This window comes from Homo sapiens, chromosome 10, assembly GCF_000001405.40.
Source record: "Homo sapiens chromosome 10, GRCh38.p14 Primary Assembly".
NCBI classification, from domain to species: Eukaryota; Metazoa; Chordata; class Mammalia; order Primates; family Hominidae; genus Homo; species Homo sapiens.
Genome location: NC_000010.11, coordinates 5,690,412 through 5,712,944, shown reverse-complemented (window position 1 = coordinate 5,712,944; position 22,533 = coordinate 5,690,412). Strand labels below are relative to the sequence as shown.

The 22,533-nt window shown below is 36.9% G+C and overlaps 1 protein-coding gene across 5 annotated transcripts in view, besides 1 other annotated feature; it reads right to left on the bottom strand.

The window, feature by feature from the left end:
* The window catches only part of TASOR2 (transcription activation suppressor family member 2), a 78,903-nt gene that overhangs the window by 50,796 nt on the left and 5,574 nt on the right, over nucleotides 1-22,533 (bottom strand). For 4 of the 5 annotated variants that reach the window (NM_001321783.2, NM_001321785.2, NM_001321784.2 and 1 more), the window contains exon 2: nucleotides 27-122. Coding sequence is in view for 1 of the 5 variants with exons in the window: in NM_001387328.1 (NP_001374257.1) it covers nucleotides 27-122; nucleotides 406-551; nucleotides 3,282-3,415; nucleotides 20,027-20,031 (381 nt within the window). In the remaining 4 variants the exon portion in view is untranslated. Of the gene's footprint in view, nucleotides 1-26; nucleotides 123-405; nucleotides 552-3,281; nucleotides 3,416-20,026; nucleotides 20,148-22,533 lie in introns of those variants that run through there. The other variant, NM_001387328.1, reaches the window with a different exon arrangement.
* Nucleotides 20,052-20,281: a silencer, noted in NCBI's record as "silent region_2085". NCBI's record gives its function as "represses an Ori minimal core promoter by ATAC-STARR-seq in GM12878 lymphoblastoid cells {active_cell/tissue: GM12878}" and the evidence as "EXISTENCE:reporter gene assay evidence [ECO:0000049][PMID:35858748]".

The following is a 22,533-nucleotide window of genomic DNA, read 5'->3' as shown; positions in this document are numbered from 1 at the left end:
AATTTTCTACAACCTAATTCCCTTACCTGCTTTTCAGTATCAAACAGAAGAAACCCGTAAGTGTCTTGAAGTTCTTCCTGAGTATAACTACTTGCTTTTTTTTGTTGGTAAAAAGTTTTGTACTGTATAAAGAGAGAACAGAATAACCAAACGCTATAAACATACTATTTTGTCTTGCAAATTTTTAAAAATGCATCATTTGAATTCTTCCTGCCATTAAGACTAAACATAAATGCATTATTTTTCTATTCCCTAGAATAATTACCTTCCAAGTGACTATTTCCAAGGATCTGCTGCGTCTGAAAAATTATAGCTAAAAAGTGCTAGGCTTATATACCAAAAATGATGGGTTTACCTCTTTTAAAACTAAAACAAAACCATCATAGTGTGTACCAAGCACCTCACCTCATTTAAGAAAATGTCATTTTTCACCAAAGTCACTTGACTGTACTGAAAACCATGCTCAGATGAAGAGTCCAAGTAAGAAGTATGGAGGAGTGAAACTGCCCTCTGGAAGAGAGAGTCTGAACTCAAGGACACTGTCTCAAAAACTGTAAAACACAAACAAAAATAACGCAGCTATTTAAGATTCCAAAGGATGGGGTTAAGGGAGACACACTGAATATCACTCAAAACATCACCTATTCCTTTCCTATATAACTAAGAAATATTTGTACTGTCTTAACAAAATTTAAAAGACCTCTGATGTAAAGAAAATAACCTAAATAAATTAGAACTGAAGCTGAATTACTTTTAGTACAGGAGCTAAAATATGTCCTGCCAGACCTGGTATGTCTTTTGGTTGAAAGCTGTGTACTATAACTGTAGTTGGTCAAAAGTGGATACAACTGTAGTGTCAAGGTGGTGGTCAGGAGCTGCTTAGACTTTTAGAGCAATTTCTCATTCTTTAGTTTTTTTCATCCTTTGTTTCTATTCTTTTTTTTTTAAATATATACGCCACACTTGATAAACTTACTCTTTACATATTTTCATTAAATCCCTAAGTCAGCTAGGTCCCTTTTAAGGGACCTACTATTGCCCACTCACCAGACACAATAGAAATCATTGTATCTCTGGGATTTCCTCACCCGTCAAGAAGAGTCTATTGAGTTTTACTTCCTGTGAGTTGTATTATAAAATCACTTTCTTTCATTTTATACAACAGAGCTGTACTTACAATTTTTTGAAGGTGCTTTTTTCAAACCATACCCATGTGAGATAGCTTTGAGGGACTGTGATACACCCTTCCCATGAGAGGCACGTTTCCTAATTGAGAATTACCGACTGGATCCAGTAATTATGTTGACTGACTCTTTGTGCCTTTTGATTTTACAAGTCTCTACTTTAGCAAGAACTGAGCCTAATGACCTACGGACACTCTTGCATCTAACCATTTTAACTGTTCACTCTCCTATTTGTACTCTTTCTATTCTCTTTATTAAGGTTGGGGGGTTTTACAAACCTAGTATTTATAAACAATAAGGAGAAGAGAATGATTTATATAGCACTGGAAGTACTGGTCATATAGTATAAATGTTATGAAGTACAGTAATATGGCTTCCTACTTTTACCAAAACTGCCAAATGTATTAAAGTTCAAAAATTAAAGAGAAAAAAGAATCTCAATTAAAACTAACTTGTAAGTAACCAATATACAAAAACTAGACTATCTCAGAAATGAAAGCAAACATTTTAGTAAGCTAAATTTAGACTAAATTGTCCTAATACTTTAATTATCAAGGCATTTAAAAAATCTTTTAATAAACTTCCAAGTATCAAAATGAAAGACTGTAAATAGAAAAGAATGAAATGTTTACGAATATTCTGAAGTTGATATACATGATTTATATATTCATTCTAAGTTTTACTTTTACTTTTGCTCAGTTTCACTTTCTCCTTCAATATACCAGTGCTTTAAAAAATAGGGATATTCTGAATAGATGCAAATAGCAAAACACCAGTTATAAGAGTTAAAATTAAAGCTTTATTAGCTGCATTACTCAAAACAAACTGGCAAACCTGAGCATTTTCAAATTCATTTTACAAATAATCTGTACTGCTAGCCTAAACACAAATCAAGATTTCTTTAGAAACAATAATTTTGGGAACTTTATATTTGATATTTATAAAAAAGCAAGAAAGTTTCAAAATTGAATTACCTATAGACCAATATTTGAGAAACACATTGTTTACACTGAAAGAAATATTTTAAAAAGTAACTCTGGAAATGAAGACTGTGATTATCAACTTCTCTAAATTCTGTAAGTCATTAATAGGTAGGCACAGATTTAAGTTACATACGTCCTCATTTTTGAGCATCATAATGCACAATAATGAACTGAAAACTGAAGAGATGGTGCAATTAAAAACACTAATACAGGGTTTCCCAAATACATGGTCAGAGAACACTTCATTAACACCAGTGTGGGGAATACTGTTCCCTATATAGCTATAAATAAAGCCAATGATTTAAAACGAAGGAGGAGGAACAAGTACCAAATTATTTTTTGCTTATATATATTTTTATTTCCAGAACTATTTATTTATGGTTAAAAATGCTTCCACTTTAGGCCAGTATTCTTCAATATATAGCAGTATATGCATAAAAGCAGTGATTTTATGGTTAGCAGAGGTATGTTAAAAACAAAGTTGTTGGAAAATCATAGCTAATCTTAAATCTTTCATGGGTTCATAATGACATCAATTACACTCTCAAGAAAGCACAAGTTTCCTGTTCAGTAAATGAGGAGACAGATGAAAATTTCATCTAGAAATTTGACGCTCTCCCTTCTTTACAAAATACACTTTCATTTGAGAGTCCAATCAGTGCACCAAACAATACAAACACTTTATGAATGAATGGTCTCATAACTGCTGAGCAATGCTCAAGCTTTATTTAAACATTCAAGATTACCAGACTATGAAAATGAAGAGGGGGCTATACCACAAAGAAACCTAAAAATCTAAGACGGTAAAACTTGAAAAGTGCTTGCCTATAAAGCATTAAGTATATCCCTTAGGGCTTAAGTGATGAATAAAGAGCATGTGAGAAAGGTTAAATTCAATCACAACAGAGGAACATACGTGTTTTATGTTGCAATTTGAAAAGTTAATCACCTATTACTTTTGGACTAATGATTATTTTAAAAAATATAGGTACTGGAAATCATAATTTTTTAAAGTCTTTTTGTTTTACATGATCTAAATTAAAACTAAAAACATTTTAATCATTCTATTCTGGATTCATTAGTTATGACTTATAGCACTTAGTTTAATACCCACTCTTTTCTGATAGGGACCCTGTCTCGATCTTCTCTAAGAGAGAATGTAGCTGGGAGGGTGGTCTTAATTCATTTTCACCAAGTATACCCTCAGAATTCTTGACATAGTCCTGTTCTCTGTTAATGTCATAAATGCTAAAATGAAGAAAGAAAAAAAATCATAAAGTGAACAATTCTATTTATAGCATATTTACTATAGAAACAAATGTTCGCTGAGTAATTTGTATTAGGAATAATTATGTAATATTTATTTACCTCCTTTGACAAGTATTCTCAGCTAAGGACTTAATTTGTTCTATAAGCTATAACACATAATCTGAAATGTTTTTCCTCCAAAAGTCTTTAACTTCTAAAGAAAATTTTGTACACAGAAATATATTATGCTTAATCGCTTTTGCCTTACTGAAAAAAAATCTTTCAAAATGAAGAGATCACAGAACCACATCTTTATTCCACTAGTTGAAAATAACGGAATCAAGCAGAACACAATTTACAAAAATCTCTCTCCTCCCCCAAATTAGTTGTATATATATTCATTAAACAAAACTATTAGTGGTGACTATTATGCATCCAATATCATGCTAAATCTTGGATTTATCAAGACAAATGGCAAACAGTCTCTATTACAGGGAAACAGGCTCTACATTAAAAAAGTTCAGATTAGGCTGGGCGAGGTGGCTCATGCCTGTAATCCCAGCACGCCGGGAAGCTAAGGCAGGCAGATTGTTTGAACTCAGGAGCTTGAGACCAGCCAGGGCAACAAAGTGAGACCCCACCTCTATAAAAAATACAAAAATTAGCCAGGCATGGTGGAGTGCACCTGTAGTCCCAGCTACTTTGGAGGCTGAGGTGGGACGATGGCTTGAGTCTGGGGGGAAGAAGTTGCAGTGAGCTGAGATTGCACCCCTGAACTCCAGCCTGGGTAACAGAGCCAGACCATGTCAGAAAGAGAGAAAGAGAGGAAAGGAAAGAAAGGAAGGAAAGGAAGGAAGGAAGAAAGGAAGGAAAGGAAGGAAGGAAGGAAGGAAGGGAGGAAGGGAGGGAGGGAGGGAGGGAGGAAGGAAGAGATAGAGAAAGAGAGAGAAAAGGAGAGAAAGAAAGAAAAAGAAAGAAAGAAAGAGAAAGAAAGGAAAGAAAGAGAAAGCAAGCAAGTTAGCTCAGAATAGACAAGGAAGAAAAATCTGCAAAGAAATTAGTACTATAAATGTGTAGGAGTATCTAAAACATGATATAGTGGATGTACAGTGATACAACCAATTTTATGGAGATGGAGCTATGTCAAGAAAGATTTCATGGAGGCACAGATACTTGAAATCTGGAAGATATTCCAATGAGGAAGCCAAAAAAGGAAACTAGTGTACATTTTCTAGATAGCAGAAATAGTATGAGCAAATGAACAGCGGTTTAAACATGATACATTAAAGGAACTGCAAATAGTTTAATATGACTGATTAAGGGAAGAAGGGAGAGAAGAATAAGAACGAAGAAAAAGATTACAAAGGTGGTCAAGTTTTCAGTTTTTATCATGAGTCTGTGGAATAAGGATTTTCATATGCTTCACAAAAACAGCATGTATAGTTTTACAGCACATTTTCCCCCCAAAAAGAACTGGAGGTAGAATTGTGTGGATACATTCAAAATTTTTTAGGAAAAGTAGCTATGTTGATAATAATTCATGAAGGAGGTTGTTTATGTAGGGGAAAATTAGGAATAGGGAGACCAGGGTTCTGGTCTACCTATTGAACTCACTAGGTGCTACCACTAATGTGTTTTGAGACAGTGGTTAAAGACACATTGGATTGACTTCCCAACAATCATGTCCCTTTTACTTCCCTTCCATAAAACCACAATTTTGTTCAGGTATCAGGTTATCCCATGGTTCAGAAGAAGTGTGTGTGTGTGTGTGTGTGTGTGTGTGTGTGTGTGTGTGTGTGTGTGAAAATGAGTGAGGGAGAGTGAGTATGTGTGTGTGTGGGGTTGGGGGGGGAGACAGAGAGAGAGAGAGAGAGAAAGAGAATGAGAATCTTAATTACTCTAAGATCATTATGGTAATTCCACTCCCTTTGAATAGTGTTTGTTTTAGGAATAAACATGTGACTCAGTTCTGGCCAGTGAGATATAAATGGAAGTCTACAGAGAGAGTTCTGGGAAACCTTTCTTAGAAAAGGACTCCATCTTCTAGCCTAGGATCTTGTCTGAAGATGTGTTGCCTGGATCTCCTTGCAACCAAGATGGCAGCCAACATAGAACGGAACAGAACAGAAAGAAACTAGATCCCTGAACTGATGAAATAAACTAACCTGGGGGCTGCCTCATCTTTGGGCTTTATACATGAAATAATAAATGTTCCTTATTGTTTAAACTTTTATTGGAAGCTGAAGACATACTAACTGATGGATTTTGTTAAATTTATACTCTCTAAGGCCTCCTTTAGTTATAATTGCCTTTCTAAAGCTCCTTTCAGTTGTGACTCTACAAGGAACTTTACTGAAGGCTTGCTGTGCATGAGGCATGGTGCACTGGCATCAGATAACTTAGCAAATTCCTTTTTTCTTTGCTGCCATGGATAGAGACGTTATCCTAGTATTTGTTAGCAAGGAAGCTATTGTTATTAATGATAACAATGGCTAACATTTGTTGGGTGCTTACTTTTTTTTTTTTGAGACGGAGTCTTGCTCCGTGGCCCAGGCTGGAGCGTAAGTGGCTTGATTCTGGTTCACTGCAACCTCCACCTCCCGGGTTCAAGCAACTCTCTTGCCTCGGCCTCCCGTGTAGCTGGGATTACAAGTGCCCAGCAACATGCCCGGCTAATTTTTGTATTTTTAGTAGAGATGGGATTTCACCATGTTAGCCAGGTTGGTCTCGAACTCCTGGCCTCAAGTGATCTGCATACCTCGGCCTCCCAAAGTGCTGGAATTACAGGCATGAGCCACCGTGCTAGGCCTAGGTTTCACTACTTAACTGTATGTATTAATCATTGCTGAGCCATACTGTGTAGTCAAGTTCTTTCCTTATACCGTGTTTTGCTTTTCTGAATTTAAAATAGCTTAATTTTCAGTTACCAATCATTATTTCAGCTTGAAATTCTAGAGAACTAACAATATCCTCTGGATAAAGATAGATCAAAGATTTTGTCTGTTTTGAGCAGCTTCTTTTCTTTTTTTTGGAAGGACCTTTCTGGAGCACTATGTCTTCCAGCTTCAATCTGGGCTTGTGCCCTCTGATATTACTGCCTGGCTTTCTAACTTTGCTGGGGGATGTTAAGACACAAAATTGATCTACAGATTCAACACAATCTCAGTTTGCAGAAACTGATGATCTGATTCTAAAATTTATATAAGAAAGATATAAGCCAAAACAATTTTGAAAAAGAACAAAGCTGAAGGACTCACTACCTGATTTTGAGAATTACTACAAAGCTAAAGTAGTCAAGACAAGGTGGTAATGATACAAAGAAAATGCATATAGATCAATGGAACAGAATAGAGTCCAGATAACAGATTTTCAATATTGCCAGTATAATTCCATTGAGAAAGAATATCTTTGCAATAAATGCTGCTACAGAACAACTAAAACGGAGGAAAAAAACATGAACCTCAAACCTCTACCTTAAACCATAAAATTTAACTCAAAATGAATCACAGACCTAAACATAAAAACTATAACTATTTGGCTAAAATTATAAAATTTAAAAAATCATAGGAAAAAATGTACTTGACTATGGGGTACATAAAGTTTTCATAGGGCACAAAATTAGTGACCTAGAAAAATGTATACATCAGACTTCCTAAAAATTAAAACCATCTGATCTTCCAAGGTATCATTATTAAGAAATGGGAAATATTTGTAAAGTACCTGTACCTAGAATATATAAAAAACTCATAGACACATTTCACAAAATAAAGCATATAATAAAAAGAAACATGGGAAATGGGTCAATATTATTAGTTATCAGGGAAGTGCTAATTAAAACCACAATAAAATACTACTGCTCCAGTAGAATGGCTAAAAAGACTGAAAATACCAAGCGTTGGCAAGGATGAGGAGCCTCTGGAACACTCCTAGTAGAAATATAAAGCCAACTGAAAAATTATATAGCCAATTTAAAAAATAACATCAGTTTCTTATAAACACATACTTACCATATGACCCAAAATTCTATTCCTAGATATTTACCCAAGAGAATAAAACATATCCACAAAAACACTTGCACATGAATGTTCAGAGCAGCTTTTTCACAGTAGCCTAAAACTGGAAGCAACTCCAATATTCATCAATAGGTGAATGGATAAACTTGTATATTCACACATAATAATAATCAGCAATTAAAAAAAGTAAAACTGATATATGCATGCATCTCAAAACATTAAACTGGGCAAAAGTCATCAGACACAAGAGTACATACTGTAAAATTCTATACATATACAGTTCAAGAAGCAGCAAAATTAATCTATAGTGATAAAAAGCATTTCATTAGTTGCCTACAGCAGGGGGCAGGAATAGGAAAATTGACTACAAGTGGGGTATGCACAAGGGAACTTTCTGGGGTGATGGACACACACTATTTTTATTGGTGTAGTCATCACATGGTATATACATTTACCAAAATTCACTGAACTATATACTTAAATTATGTTCATTTTATTGTATGAAAATTAGACCTCAATGAAGTTGAGCTGAAAGCCCCAAAACAAAACCTAATGGTTATGAATTTGGCCACAAAGGAAATTCCAAGAGTACTAAAAAACAACTGATCTCTGACCAAAATCAAGTAAAATGACAATGTAACCATAAAAAGTTAATCTCAAAAGCCTCATGTTTGGAAATTTAAATTTTAAAAATCCTACATATAAATGGTTCATAAGTTAAAGAGTAACATGATCTAAGCTTAAGATATTATCTAAAATAGCTATAAGAAACTGTTCATTTCAAATGTATACACTACAAAAGAAAAACATTTAAAGAATCAATAAGCTACGGTCAATTCAAGAACTCAGAAAATGGAACAACACAGTAAACCCAAAGCAAATAAGAGGAGGAAATAAAAAGAGAAGATCAGATATTAATTAAACCGAAGAAAAAATAGCTGAAAAAAGATTAGCTTTTTGACAAAAAATATTGATATATCTTTAGTCAAATTAATCAAGGACAAAACAAGGCACTGAAAACCAACATTACAAATAAAAAGGAGTGTGATTTATATGTACTATAAATTATAAGGGTAATAGAAACAATTTTTATAGAAAAAATTGAAATCATAGAGAAAACAGGGGAATTTTCCAGAAATAATTTATCAAAACCTACTTAAGAAAACAGAATATACCTACAACTATTAAATAAGTGGTAGAGTTAGTTGTTATAGGTATGTAAGTCTCAAGCCCAGAAGTTTTCCCACATAAACATTATTCTCAAGAATAAAAACTTTCTTTTTTTTTTTTTTTGAGATGGAGTCTCACTCTGTCACCCAGGCTGGAGTGCAATGGTGTGATCTCGGCTCACGGCAACTTTCGCCTCCCAGGTTCAAGTGATTCTCCTGCCTCAGCCTCCCGAGTAACTGGGATGACAGGCGCCCACTACCAGGCCCAGCTAATTTTTGTATTTTTAGTAGAGATGGGGTTTCACCATCTTGGCCAGGCTGGTCTCAAACTCCTGACCTCAGGTGGATCCACCCACCTGGGCCCCCCAAAGTGCTGGGATTACAGGTGTGAGCCACCACGCCTGGCCAAGAATGAAAACTTTCTCAAATTATAAGTCTAGCACAACCTTGAATGAAAACCCAGAAAGGAACAACTATAAAAGAACATTTTAAGGTAACATCACCAATGACAACACATGCAAAAAAATCTTAAATAAAAACATCAGAGGCCGGGCGCGGTGGCTCACGCCTGTAATCCCGCACTTTGGGAGGCAGAGGCGGGCGGATCACGAGGTCAGGAGATCGAGACCATCGTGGCTAACACAGTGAAACCCCGTCTCTACTAAAAATACAAAAAATTAGCCGGGCGTGGTGGCGGGCGCCTGTAGTCCCAGATACTCGGGAGGCTGAGGCAGGAGAATGGCATGAACCCGGGAGGCGGAGCTTGCAGTGAGCCGAGATTGTGCCACTGCACTCCAGCCTGGGTGACAGAGTGAGACTGTCTCAAAAAAAAAAAAAAAAAAAATCAGAAAAACCTAAACTAGCAATATATATAAAATATAAAACAACATGATTGAGATAAAGCTTATGCCAGGAATTCAAGGAAGGAAGGTGTAACATTAGACAATTTATTCATAAAATTAATCATACTGAGAGATTTAAAAAAACCTATGCCTTATTAGACATAAAATTCAACAGCCACTTGTGACTAAAAAGAGAATTCATAGTAAATAGATTACCTGATAAACAGATATCTAGAAAGCAGCCTATATATATAATGGTGAGACATTAAAGTACTCCCTTTAAAATTAGGAAGACTATGATCCCTAATATGATCTTCTAGTTAATTATTGAGAATTTAGCAGTTCATTCCTTTGCTGAAGTTTCCTTTTTCATTTACTGATTAGCTGGTATCTGTCTTCTAGATGTTTCCTCAAGAAAGGCTCATATAAAAAGATGTAAAACCCTGAATGTTTAAAACTACCAGCCAGTACATAGTCTTTATACCCAAAGGACACCTTGGCAGCACAAAAAAATATTTGGCTCACATGTTCTTTGAGTAGCTGACATGTAGTTCCTCTACTATTTTCTGGTATTGAATGTTTCTGTTATTCTGCACCAACCTGATTTTCTTTATATGATCTTTTGCCAGTTGAAATTTTTTACCAGAATATGTCTCAATGTTGCGCCAGTTTTCCCTGGAGCATGTTGTGTCTTTTCAATAGATTTAAGTCCTTTCTTTAAGGAAAAGAAACATCTTAAATTATACTTTAAATTATGTATTCTACGGAATCGGTTTTCTTTTTTGGGGCTCCAGTTTTGCCCGTTTTGGATCTCTTTTGGCTGTCGTATCTATCCTTACTTACCAAAAAAAAAAAAAAAAAAAAAAAAAATGACCATTTTAGTAATGAGATCAAAGCTATAATAAAAACTCTTCCATTAAAGAAAAGCCCAAGACCTTATAGCTTCACTGCTGGATTCTACCAAACATTTAAAGAGGAACTAATATAAATTTCTATTTGAACTCTTCAAAAAATTGAAGAGGAGGAAATATTTCCAAACTCATTCTACAAGGTCAACATTACTCTGATACTAACACCAGAGGAGACAATGAAGAGAAAACTACAGGCCAATATCACAGATAAACATAGATGCAAAAATTCTCAATATACTAGTAAATCAAATTTAAAAACACAGTAAAAAGATATTTGCCATGATCAAGTGGGATTCATCCCAGGGATGCAAGGATGGTCCAACATGTGCAAATCAATAAATGTGATATATTAACAGAACTAAGAACAAAAACCATGATTACTTCAACAGATGCTGAAAACGCATTTAATAAGATTTAACATCTGTTTATGATTTTAAAAAACCCTCATCAAACTGGGTATGGAAGGAACGTATCTCAAGTAATAAAGGCCATATATGACAAACCAATAGCAAACATCATCCTGAACAAGGAACAATTGAAAGCCCTTCCTCTAAGATATGGAACAAGACAAGGATGCCTACTTTCACCACTTTTATTCAATATAGTACTGGAAGTACTGGGCAGAGCAATTAGGCAAGAGAAAGAAATAGAGGGCATCCAAATCAGAAAAGAAGAAGTCAAATAAGCCTGTTCACAGATAACGTGATCTTATACTTAGAAAAACCTGGACTCCACCAAAAAAATTGTTAGAACTGATAAACAAATTCAGTAAAGTTGCAGGATACAAAATCAACATACAAAAATCGGTAGCGTTGGTATACACCAACTGCAAGCAATCTGAAAAAGAAATCAAGAAAGCAATCCCATTTACAATAGCTACAAAGAATATAACATACCTAGGAATCAATTTAGCCAAAGAAGTGAAAGATCTATACAAGAAAAACTATAAAACAATGATGAAAGAAATTGAAGTGGACATTAAAAAATAGAAAGATACTCTATGCTCAGGGACTGGAAGAATTCATATTGTTGAATACTACCCAAAGCCAATTTACAGATTCAATGCAATCAATCCCTATCAAAATTCCAATGACATTCTTCTTCACAGAAATAGAAAACAAATCCTAAAATGTATATGGAACCACAAAAGATCCTGAATAGCCAAACCAATACTAAGCAAAAACAACAAAGCTGGAGGCATCACACTACCTGACTTCAAAATTTACTACAAAGCTACAGCACTGGCATAAAAACAAAACACAGACCAAAGGAACAGAACAGGGAACCCAGGTGTAAATCCATATAGAGCCAACTCATCATCGACAAAGGAGCTAAAACATACAATGGGAAAAGGACAGTCTCTTTGATAAACGGTGGTGGGAAAACTGGATAACTACATGCAGAAGAACAAAACAATCTGACCATATACAAAATTCAAATCAAAATGGATTTAAGACTTACATCTAAGCATCTAAGACCCAAAACTATGAAACTACCAGAAGAAAACACTGGGAAAACACTCCAGGATACTAGTCTGGCCAAACTTTTTTTGTTTAAGGCCTCAAAGGCACAGGCAACCAAAGCAAAAATAGACAAATGGGATTACATCAAGCTAAAAAAAAAGCTTCTGCACAGCAAAGGAAACAATGAAGTAAAGAGACAACCCACAGAATGGGAGAAAATATTTGCAAACTACTCACCCGCCAAAAGATTAACAACCAGAATATATAAGGAGCTCAAACAACTCAACAGCAAGGAAGCAAGCAAGCAAGCAAGCAAACACACACACACACACACACAGACACACCCCCACAAATAATCCAATTAAAAAACAGGCAAAAGATCTGAATAAACATTTTTCAAAAGAAGACATAAAAATGGCCAAGAGGTGTATGAAAAAATCCTCAACATCATGAATGATCAGAGAAAAGCAAATCAAAACTACGAGACATCATCTCGCCCCAGTTAAAATGGCTTTTACTAAAAGGACAAGCAATAATGAATGCCGGCGAAGATATGGAGAAGGGGGAACCCTTATACACTGCTGGTAGAAATTTAAGTTAGTACAGCCACTATGGAAAAGAGTACAGAGCTTTCTCAAAAAAATAAAAACAGAACTACCATATGATCCAGCAATTCCACTACTGGGTATATATCCAAAAGAAAGAAAATCAACATATCAAAAAGACATCTGCACTCCCGTATTTACTGCAACACTATTCACAACAGCCAAAATATAAAATCAACCTCAGTGTCCATCAACAGATGAATAAAGAAAATGTAGTATACACAATGCAATATTATTCAGCCATAAAAAAAAAATAAAATCCTGCTATTTTCAGCAACACTGATGCAACTGTAGGTCTTTATGTTAAGTGAAATAAGCCAAGCACACAGAGACAAATATCACATACTCTCACTCATATGTGGAAGCTACAAAAGTGGATTTCATGAAAATAGAGAGTAGATTTGGTGGTTATGAGAGGCTGGAAAGGGTAGGAGGAAGGAAGGAATAAAGAGAAGTTGATTAATGGGTATAAATATATGGTTTGATAGAAGACCTAGTGTTAGATCAGTAGGTTGACTGTAGTTTACAATCTATTATATATTTCAAAATGAATAGAATTTGAGTGGTTCTAGCACAAAGAAAAGAGAAATATTTAAGGTAACAGATGACCCAACTACACTGACTTGATCTCTACAAATTATATGACTGTATTATCACATGTATCCTAAAACTGTGTACATCTATTACGCATCAATAAAAATAAATGTGTACCTGTTTTACTCATTTTTCTCCTGTCTATCTTTTGTTTTCTTTCTTTGCATTATCAAAATTGTGGTAAAATATACTTACCATAAAATTTCATTTCTACTTTTATGATCTTTGCCATGGTGTCTAGTCTCCCTTGTGTACTTCTGAAATGGCTTGATCATTTTTCTCTATTTCTTTTTTTCTGCTGGTTCCCATTTCACACTCTACTGTTGTCTGGCTGTCTCTTCCTTGAGTTCTTGTATTTCTTCTTTCCAGTAGTTCTCCGTAACTTCTATGCTTCATTAATTTTATTTTCTAATACAATGTTGAGATATAATTCATACGGCATACAATTCACCCACATAAAGTGTACAATTCAATTGCTTTTAGTATATCCACAGAATTGTGCTTAGTATATCCACAGAATTGTGCAACCTTCACCACAATCAATTTTAGAGTATTTTCATTATCCCCAAAGAAACCTTCTACCCCTTAGCTATCCTCCTCACCCCTCACTGGTTCCTAGGCCTAGGAAACCATAATTTACTTTCGGTCTCTACAGATTTGCCTATTCCAGACCATTTCCTATAAACAGAGTCATACAGCACGCGGTCCTTCATGATTGGCTTCTTTCACTTAGCCTGTTTTTGAAGTTCATCCATGTTAAAGCATATATCAATATTTCATACCTTTTTATGCCAAATAATATTCCACTTTGTGGATATACTACATTTTGTTTATCCATCAACTGATGCACATTTGGGTTGTTTCTACATTTTGGCTATTATGAATAATTATGCTATGAGCATTCATGTATAAGTTTTTATGTGAACATGTTTTCATTTCTCTTACGTATATACCTTAGAGTAGAATGGCTTGCTCTTCCAGTAAATCTGTGTCTGCTCATCTGAGAAACTGCCAGGCTGATTTCAAAGTGGCTGCACCATTTTATATTCCCACCAGCAGTATACAGAAGGTTCCAATTTTTTCACAGCATTACCAACACTTGTTATTATCTGTCTTTTTGATTACAGCTATCTTAATGGGTATGATGTGGTATATAAATTTATTTTAAAATTTGTATTAAAACCTTAGGTCACATTTTCCATCTACTTCAAAAGGTCAGCAAACTTTTTCATAAAGGGTCAGAAAATAAATACTTTAGGATTATGAACCACACGGTCTCTGTCACAACTACTCATCTCTACCGGTAGAGCATAAAAACAGCCATAGAAAATGCATAAATAGGAATGACCATGTCCCCATATAACTTTATTTACAAAAATAGGCAAGACCACAGGCAGTAGCTTGACCACTTGTGATTTATTTTCTGCTAATATTGTTTTGAAAAATATCGTCTGTAGAAAATTGTGGTTTTTCTCTCTCTTTTTTTATTTTTAATCATATAACTGTTCGGTTAACTAATGTTTATTAACAGACCATCCTGAAGTTCACTGGCTTACAACCACAATCATTTTTTTATCACTCACATCTCTACAGTGTTCATTGAATTCAGCTTAACTCAGCTGGGGTGGCCCTCACTCTCCTATCTCTCATCTTCCCTCAACCAATGAGCTAGCAGAGACATGTTTTTCTCATGGAAATGGCACAGATAGAAAGAGAACAAATAAAAATACCCAAGGCCTCTTAAGGCTTAGGCTTGAAACTGATATGTTATCACTTTTACCTTAGCAAGTCACATAGCCAAACACAAAGTCAAGGAGTAGGGAAATATCTCTGTCACTTTAATGAAAGGAACTGCATAGGGTCATGGAGTGAACATAAGGAAAAGTAAAGCACTAGGGTCAATAATGCAATTGGTAGTGGTGATCATTGCACAACCTTGGGAATAAATTAAAAGCCAGTCAACTGTACACTTTAAAATGGTGAATTTTATGGCATGTGAATTATATCTTCAATAATAAAAATAATATAAAAGAACAAAAAACCAACATAAAACATAAAAAATACCATCTACCAGACAGTCACTGTATGGATGCTGTACATACTATTTTTGTTATACATGTCTGAATGAGATGAATTATCCTGGACTGTTATCAGAAGATTCAGGGTGTAGGGAGGGGTAGGGCACTTGTCATGTTTCTTTAGGGTTCCCTCTGTTCCTAAATCAGAGGACTGCTGTTTTATAATATGGTGCCTTGTTCCTTATCTAATCTCCAAATGTAATCTGGTTCAGGAGGGCCTTTATTGCCAGCTCTGCTTGCCTCTTAGAGACACAACCCTTGCTTTCCAAGGTTATGCACTCATTTCTAGGAGTACTTTATTAGCACTAAGATCTCTGCCTCCCCCATGCCCCACCCAGGCACTTTCTCATTCTGCTTTCTCCTTCCTTGATACCATATGGCTCCTCAGTCTTAGCCAGGTATACGAGACTTCTCTCTTTGGATAGGGCTGATTCTGGATATGAATAAGTTGCTGGAGATACCTGAAATATGCTTCTTCTGCGCAACTTTATCTTTGTCACAGAACTGTTGGAACTTCCCACTGGGGATACCTAACAGCACTTGCATACAATTTAAAGTTAAGGTTTCCTTTTTCCCTGAATTTGTTAAAATGCAGTTTAAGAGCTAGCACCTCGTTCTCTGCCCCCATTCTTCTTTTCAGAAGTAGGAAGAAAATCAATCTGGTCTTGTTCCTTTTGGAACTATACATTCGGTACAATGAAGTTTTGTTTATTTTTTGTTTGTTTCTGTTTTATTGATCAGGGCGCTTAATAGGCCCTTTCAACCTAGAAAGTCACCTTCTTCAGTTCTGGGACACAGATAGTTTCCTTCCACTGTATTAGATGAAGAACCTCCTTGGTTGGCCCTCTAATTTTCTCATCATTTCACTCTTATTTTCTAATTCTTGTGCTCTTCTGGTTTTTTGGGGAGAATTCTTCAGCTTTATTATCTAAACCTTGTATTAAATTTTTAAGAAATTTCTTCTGTCGCAGCAGTTTTTTTTATATAAACTTTTTCATCTTTCACAGATGTAATATCTTCTCTTTAAAGATACTAGTTTTATTTGTTGAAGTTTCTTCTGTTCCCTGAAGTAAATCTATTTATACTCAGCTCCTTTTATTTCCTACTTGGTCTCTTTTTCATTAGAGACTTTCATTCTATGGCAGGCGACCCTTGGCTGTACATTTATACTCAAATGTGAGGCATTTAAAAGCTGACTAGGGCCAGGCACCAGTGGCTCACACCTGTAATCCCAGTACTTTGGGAAGCCAAGGCAGGAAGATCACAAGCCCAGGAGTTGAAGACCAGCCTGGCAACATAGTGAGACCCCATCTCTACAAAAAATAAAAATATCAGCTGGACGTGGGGGCATACGCCTGTATTCCCGGCTACCCAGGAGGCTGAGGTGGGAGGATGGCTTGAGCCCAGGAGTTCAACGCTATAGTGAGTTATGATGGCGCTACTGCACTTCAATCTGGGTGACAGAGTGAGGCCCTGTCTCAAAAAATGAAATAAAAGTTGACTAGAAGCTGTGGTACGTGAACAATGCTTCCTGACCAGCGGCTGTACTCTCCAGGTGATCTGATGGATCCAACTGTTCAATCGGGTGAATTTCCATAGTTCATATCTGTTAAATACTGTGCCATGGGCTGGTAAGTTTCCCCAGCTAAGAATCCGTTAATGTTTTGTTGAGGGGCACGTAAGCCTGATAGTTTGGAAGCCAATCAAAAAAAGACAACCGCTCTAGGTTCAGCATGTTGACCTGACTTTCACTCAATCCTCATTTTCATTTAGGTGCTTCACCCCCACCTTAACCATCTGGAGCCTCCTAGTCTCCTGGGTATAAACCTTCAGTCTTCCGTCAAGGTAGAGGAGAGAGTAGTTGTCTGGGTGTGTGGGAGTGGAGAAGGGGTTCCAGGGTATCAAAATGATAAAGACCATCAACCAACCCTTCTATTCCCACCCCATCCTGTAATTCTTGACTTCAGAAGTCCTGTACTTGATACCCCCAATTCCTAAAACTTTTCCAGATTCTGTGGAAAGAATCTGCTTGCTCCTTGCTGGGTTACCTCTCTTCAGCTTTCAGCATTCTCTAATTCATGAAATCATTTATTACTTGCCCATCTCCTTTCTAGTTTCCCAAATACTGATTTCAGCTATATCTTCCTCTCACCTCCTCTTGATCTTTGTGGATTTATATCCTTATTCTTTTACTATAATCTTAAGAGAGACTTCCAAAGAGTGTATACAATTGAACATGTTAGACTAAAAGTGTCTACTTAACCTGTCTTAATTTCTACCATTAAAAAATGATGCAGCTACCTCCTACAATGGTAGCTACTATTGCCATTATTTTATATTTTGTGTAATTATGAAGACCTCATTTTACTAATGCACCCACCACAGCCCTAATTACACACCAAATCAATACATACTAATTTAAATAATTAGCTGTTAGTGTATATGTATGTACTCAATAGTCATTTACTCAAATGCATAAAAAGCACAATCTAAAGATCTTCAATGATATTATCTCAAAGCATCCTGTCCTTTTCTTGCATGATTTATAATTACATATGTGTAGTTTCTTCATTAATGTCATTTTCCTTAATGAGCCAAGCAATATCACGGCAGGAACCATATCTGTTTTGTTTACTACTGATTACTCAGCATCCAGTCCAATTCCTAGCACATAGTGTTTAGTAAATATGAATTTGGTAACTGAAGAATAAATAATACTTGGCTATTTAATCTGTTCCGAAACTCAGAAAAAGAAATGAAACTTCTCAATTGTTTTTACAAAGCAATCAGATGCGAATACCAAAACTAGACAAAACACATTAAAAAACAACAACTATAGACTGATCTCTTATGAATATTGATATAAAAATCCTAAATATATGCATTGGCAAAGTAAATCCATCAGGACATTAAAATAATAACAGATCAATTAGGGCTCATTCCAAGATGCAAAAATGGTTCAATAAATAGTAAATCCATAAATTTAACCATACTAATAGGTCAAAATAAAAAACCACAAAGGGGCAGCTGGGGTCTGGGATGGGGGTAGGAGAGCCACATGTCAGACTGTCAAAAGGAAGTTACTATATAACGTTCACCAGATGCTTTGTAACATGCAAATTTTTGTTGCTGCACAGTATTTCTTCATTTATGCATGCTATTTTTTACCATACTTAATCCAAAAACAAATTAAGATGCCCCCAAAGAAAACTATTTAGTAACAGTGAAAAATGTCCTACCATAAATTATTCAGGAGAAAGTTCCAAAAGAAGTATATGTGTAATATACCATATCTTAAAGAATATAAACCACAATTTAAACAATGGTCATCTTCTGCACACTTATCAATATCTGGTATTTTTTCTTGTTTATCTGATTGTCCTCCAACCACTAGATTAGTTTCATGAATACAGGGCTTTGTCCTTTTCATTGTTGTATGCCAGTGCTCAGAACAGTGCCTGTTATACAGTAGGGTTTCAATAAATATTTACTTAACAAATTAATCAATTAGTTTTCCAGATCACTTTATTTCTAATTAAAGCCCCTCAGTACCCTCTCACTGCCCTCAGAACACAAAACACACCCTCCTGGCCATGGACAAGTAAAATTTGGTCCCTGCCAATTTCCTATACCTCATCTTGCTCTACTTTTCCCTGACTTACTACTGAGTGGCAGCTACATGGATTTTTCTTTTTATAGCTTTTTCCTCTTTTAAGGCCTTTGTGCATGCTGTTATTTCTGACCAGAATTCTTTTTTTTTTCTCCCCATTCCTCCCATGGTTGAGCTCTTTCTGTTCCTTTAGTGACATCTATTTAAGTCATCCACTCAGATAAACCTCGGATTACCCTGCTGCAAGTGTTTTCTTTAAAGCATTAGAACATGGAATTATTATAAATTTACTTTTTGGTGGGTTGGGAGAGGTCTATTTTCCCCAGCAGAATGTAAGGTTTATAGAGGCAGGCATTGTCTGTTCACCAAAGTCCCCAGGGTCCAACAGAGCTCCTAGCACCACAGTAGATAATCAAATATTCTATGAAGTTATCTTTGGATGGGACAAGTACAGGTAGTTTTTGCTTTACTTTTTACAGCTTTATATATTATCTGAAATTTTAAATAAACATAATCTGGGTGAAATAAAGCTATTTCCACTTTGGAAAAAAGATCTCCTGTAGTCCTAAGTAGCAGCCAGTTATAGTTGTGGTTTTGTGGGGGTTCCCCCCTCCTCCAGGGATGAGGTTGCCCAGGTTGGTCTTGAACTCCTGAAGTTACAGGTTTTTTTTAAATGAAGAAAATGTAGAGAAAACAAATAGCATTTCCCGTAAGTCAAAACAGAGACCCAGAAAACAAAGTGACCCTATTAAAAGCCAAAAAATACAATTTGAGAAATACACAATTTTCACAGAAACTTAAACATTCATTAAAAAATTTCTTGCCACATACGAGTTTAAACCAAGATAATCACGGCACGCACAAAGGGAGTAAAAACTAAGGTAATAACCTGCAAATACTTGAAGCGCAAAGTCAATGTGCAATCCCTGTTCTACATTTCAAAAGATGACCTTAGCTATTGTAGGTTTACATAGGCACACACACAACTAGCACCGTCTCTCTGGCGGTTCTGCAAGGGCTCCACCACTACCACACACAATCCACTCACAATCAGGAGTGAAGTTAAGCCTTCGGGTACCATACAAAAGTGTCTTTCATCACCAGGGCTCTGCTGCGGGGCCTCACTGACCCTGCCAAAGCTTCTCTCCCCACACCCTCACCAGAAGGTAAAACGTTACTAGACAGAATAGGCCCATTTTCTCGGGTCTCCTTCGCACTCAGCGCTGTATTAACAGTCACCTCCGTGGGTGAGCCCGCCCCAGGCACAGCGGGGGTCAGAGCTTCCCACAACAGCATGTGGGAGACCTAGGCCCCTCCCCGACTCACCTCATGGTGTGTTGGGGAGGGTGGCTGTGTCTCTGCTCCGCCGGCAGCCCCTCCGGCCCCCTCCCGCCAGCCAAGGCCAGTGCGCCAGAGCGGGGAACTCCGCGCAGGGCGTGCTGAGCGTGTAGGGCGCGGGGCCGGCGGCGCCTTTTGAAAGTCAACAAGGGCGACGCCGGCTCCGCGAGCGGAGCCCAGGGGCATGGCCCTGACTCGGCGCCCACGGACCCCACAGAACGAGGGGATCCCTGCAAACCCCACTGAGCCCGTACAGCCAACAGGGCTGGGAGATCCCCGCACACTCCGTAGACCCAACGGAGCTTGTAGCGGGTAGGGACTCCACACACCAGGGAACCCTACAGAACCCGCAGGACCCCAGGACCCTGCAGACCTGGGCGGGCTCAGTCGTCAGAACGGAGCACAGGACAGCAAGCCAACTGCCCCCGAGTTCTTGGACGTCACACAGTAACCCCACTAGGAGGATGGTTTTAGTATTATTTTACAAAGCTCACTCCAAGCTCCAATTTCCTTAAGTGTCCTACCCGCAAGCCCCTAGTAAGGATATCTATCAATCTCAGGTCTAATCTAAAATACACGTTCTTTTCACTACAGTGATCTCAAGTTATTATAACTCTTCGTCCCACATCATTTATGCAGCCTCACCGGCTACAGTTTGATGCAGCTTTTTAAATTTACTATGTAGATAATAAAAAATGTATTTATACATGTCACAAAATTAAAAAGTCATAATGAATATGGCTTTTTTTTTTTTTTTGAGACAGAGTGCAGTGGCACAATCTGGGCTCACTGCAACCTCTGCCTCCTGGTTTCAAGCGATTCCCCTGCCTCAGCCTTCTGAGTAGCTGGAATTACAGGTATGGGCCGCCACGCCTAGCTAATTTTTGTATTTTTAGTAAAGGCGTTTCACCGTGTTAACCTGGCTGGTCTCAAACTCCTGACCTCAACTGATCAGCCCGCCTCTGTCTCTCTAAATGCTCAGATTACAGGCGTGAGCCAACATGCCAGGCCTGAATATGGTTTTTTAATACTTCACATAGCTTCAGGAAAATTGATACCAATGCCTGGGGTAGGGATGAGGTCCCTTCCCAATAAGCCATGCAGCCCTAACAAAATTTACGAAAAATTTAATCAAACGGAGGTGCAGGGGGAAGATGAAGTGTTTGGCCTGATCTAAGGACATCTTTACTCATTATGTTTTAACTAAGCAATCTAAGATACCCACATGCATTGCCCAGAAGAAAGCCTAATTAGTAGATCTTATTCATCATTACCATTAGTGTGTTGTATAGCATATAGGATAATTTGAACTTATAAAGCAAGTTAAATTCATAAACAATTATGTAGATTAACAAAGAGCTATTCAAAATAAAAAATTCACTAAGGTATTTAGTATATCCAGTAGGAGACAAATTACCTTTTTTAAAAACTTTTTTTTTGGAATTACACCCCTTGAGTAAAGTGTATTACACCTATGTACTATGACTTTTTCATTTAGCTGTGGCTTGCTTATTTTTGGATTTAATATTCAATTTTTGAAGATTGTTTTAACATTCTCAAAATCCAGTCTACCACAAAAAGTATTTTTGGTAATCAGGCTGATGCTTATAAACACCACAATTTTTTTCCTCCTACATTATGTAAAAACAACAACAAATTCTTTAGAGACCATACTTTTTATATTCAAGATCATATAACTTTCTTTTTTTTTTTTTTTGAGACGGAGTCTCACTCTGTCGTCAGGCTGGAGTGCAGTGGCGTGATCTCGGCTCGCTGCAATCTCTGCCTCCCAGGTTCAAGCGATTCCCCCACCTCAGCCTCCCAAGAAGCTGGGACTACAGGCATGCACCATCATGCCCGGCTAATTTTTTGTATTTTAGTAGTGACAGGGTTTCACCATGTTGGCCAGGATGGTCTCGATCTCCTGACCTTGTGATCCACCCACCTCGGCCTCCCAAAGTGCTGGGATTACAGGCATGAGCCACCGCGCCCAGCCTCAAGGTCATATAATTTTCATTAGAATTATTTCAAAGCTTATATGGTGACTTTTTAAAACATCTCTATACAGTAATGACCATTGTTCTGGCTCCTCATCAACTGGGTTTATGAGTTTGTGCTTTGGCATTAAACCATCTTTTGCCTGTATAAAATGGTTGTATCGTATTCATTAATATACTTATTGCAAGGATACACACTGTTAAGTAGTTTTGTCCCTCTTACAAAAATATCCTGAGAATAAGTTCCTCTCAGAAACAATTATATTTCAAGACCCACTTTTGGGTACTCTTGATTATTACATATGGCAAAAGAGAACGTGACATCTGATTTATGCCAGAATAAAGATAACTATGTATGGCCACCACCTCTACACGTAGCCCACGCAAAATGTCCTGGGCACAGATAAATAGGGGATATGCACAAGGGTAAAGTAGGTGCCCCAACTGGACAAACCTCAGGCATTGGGATCTTGAATATTCCTTCTCCTAATGAGGGAG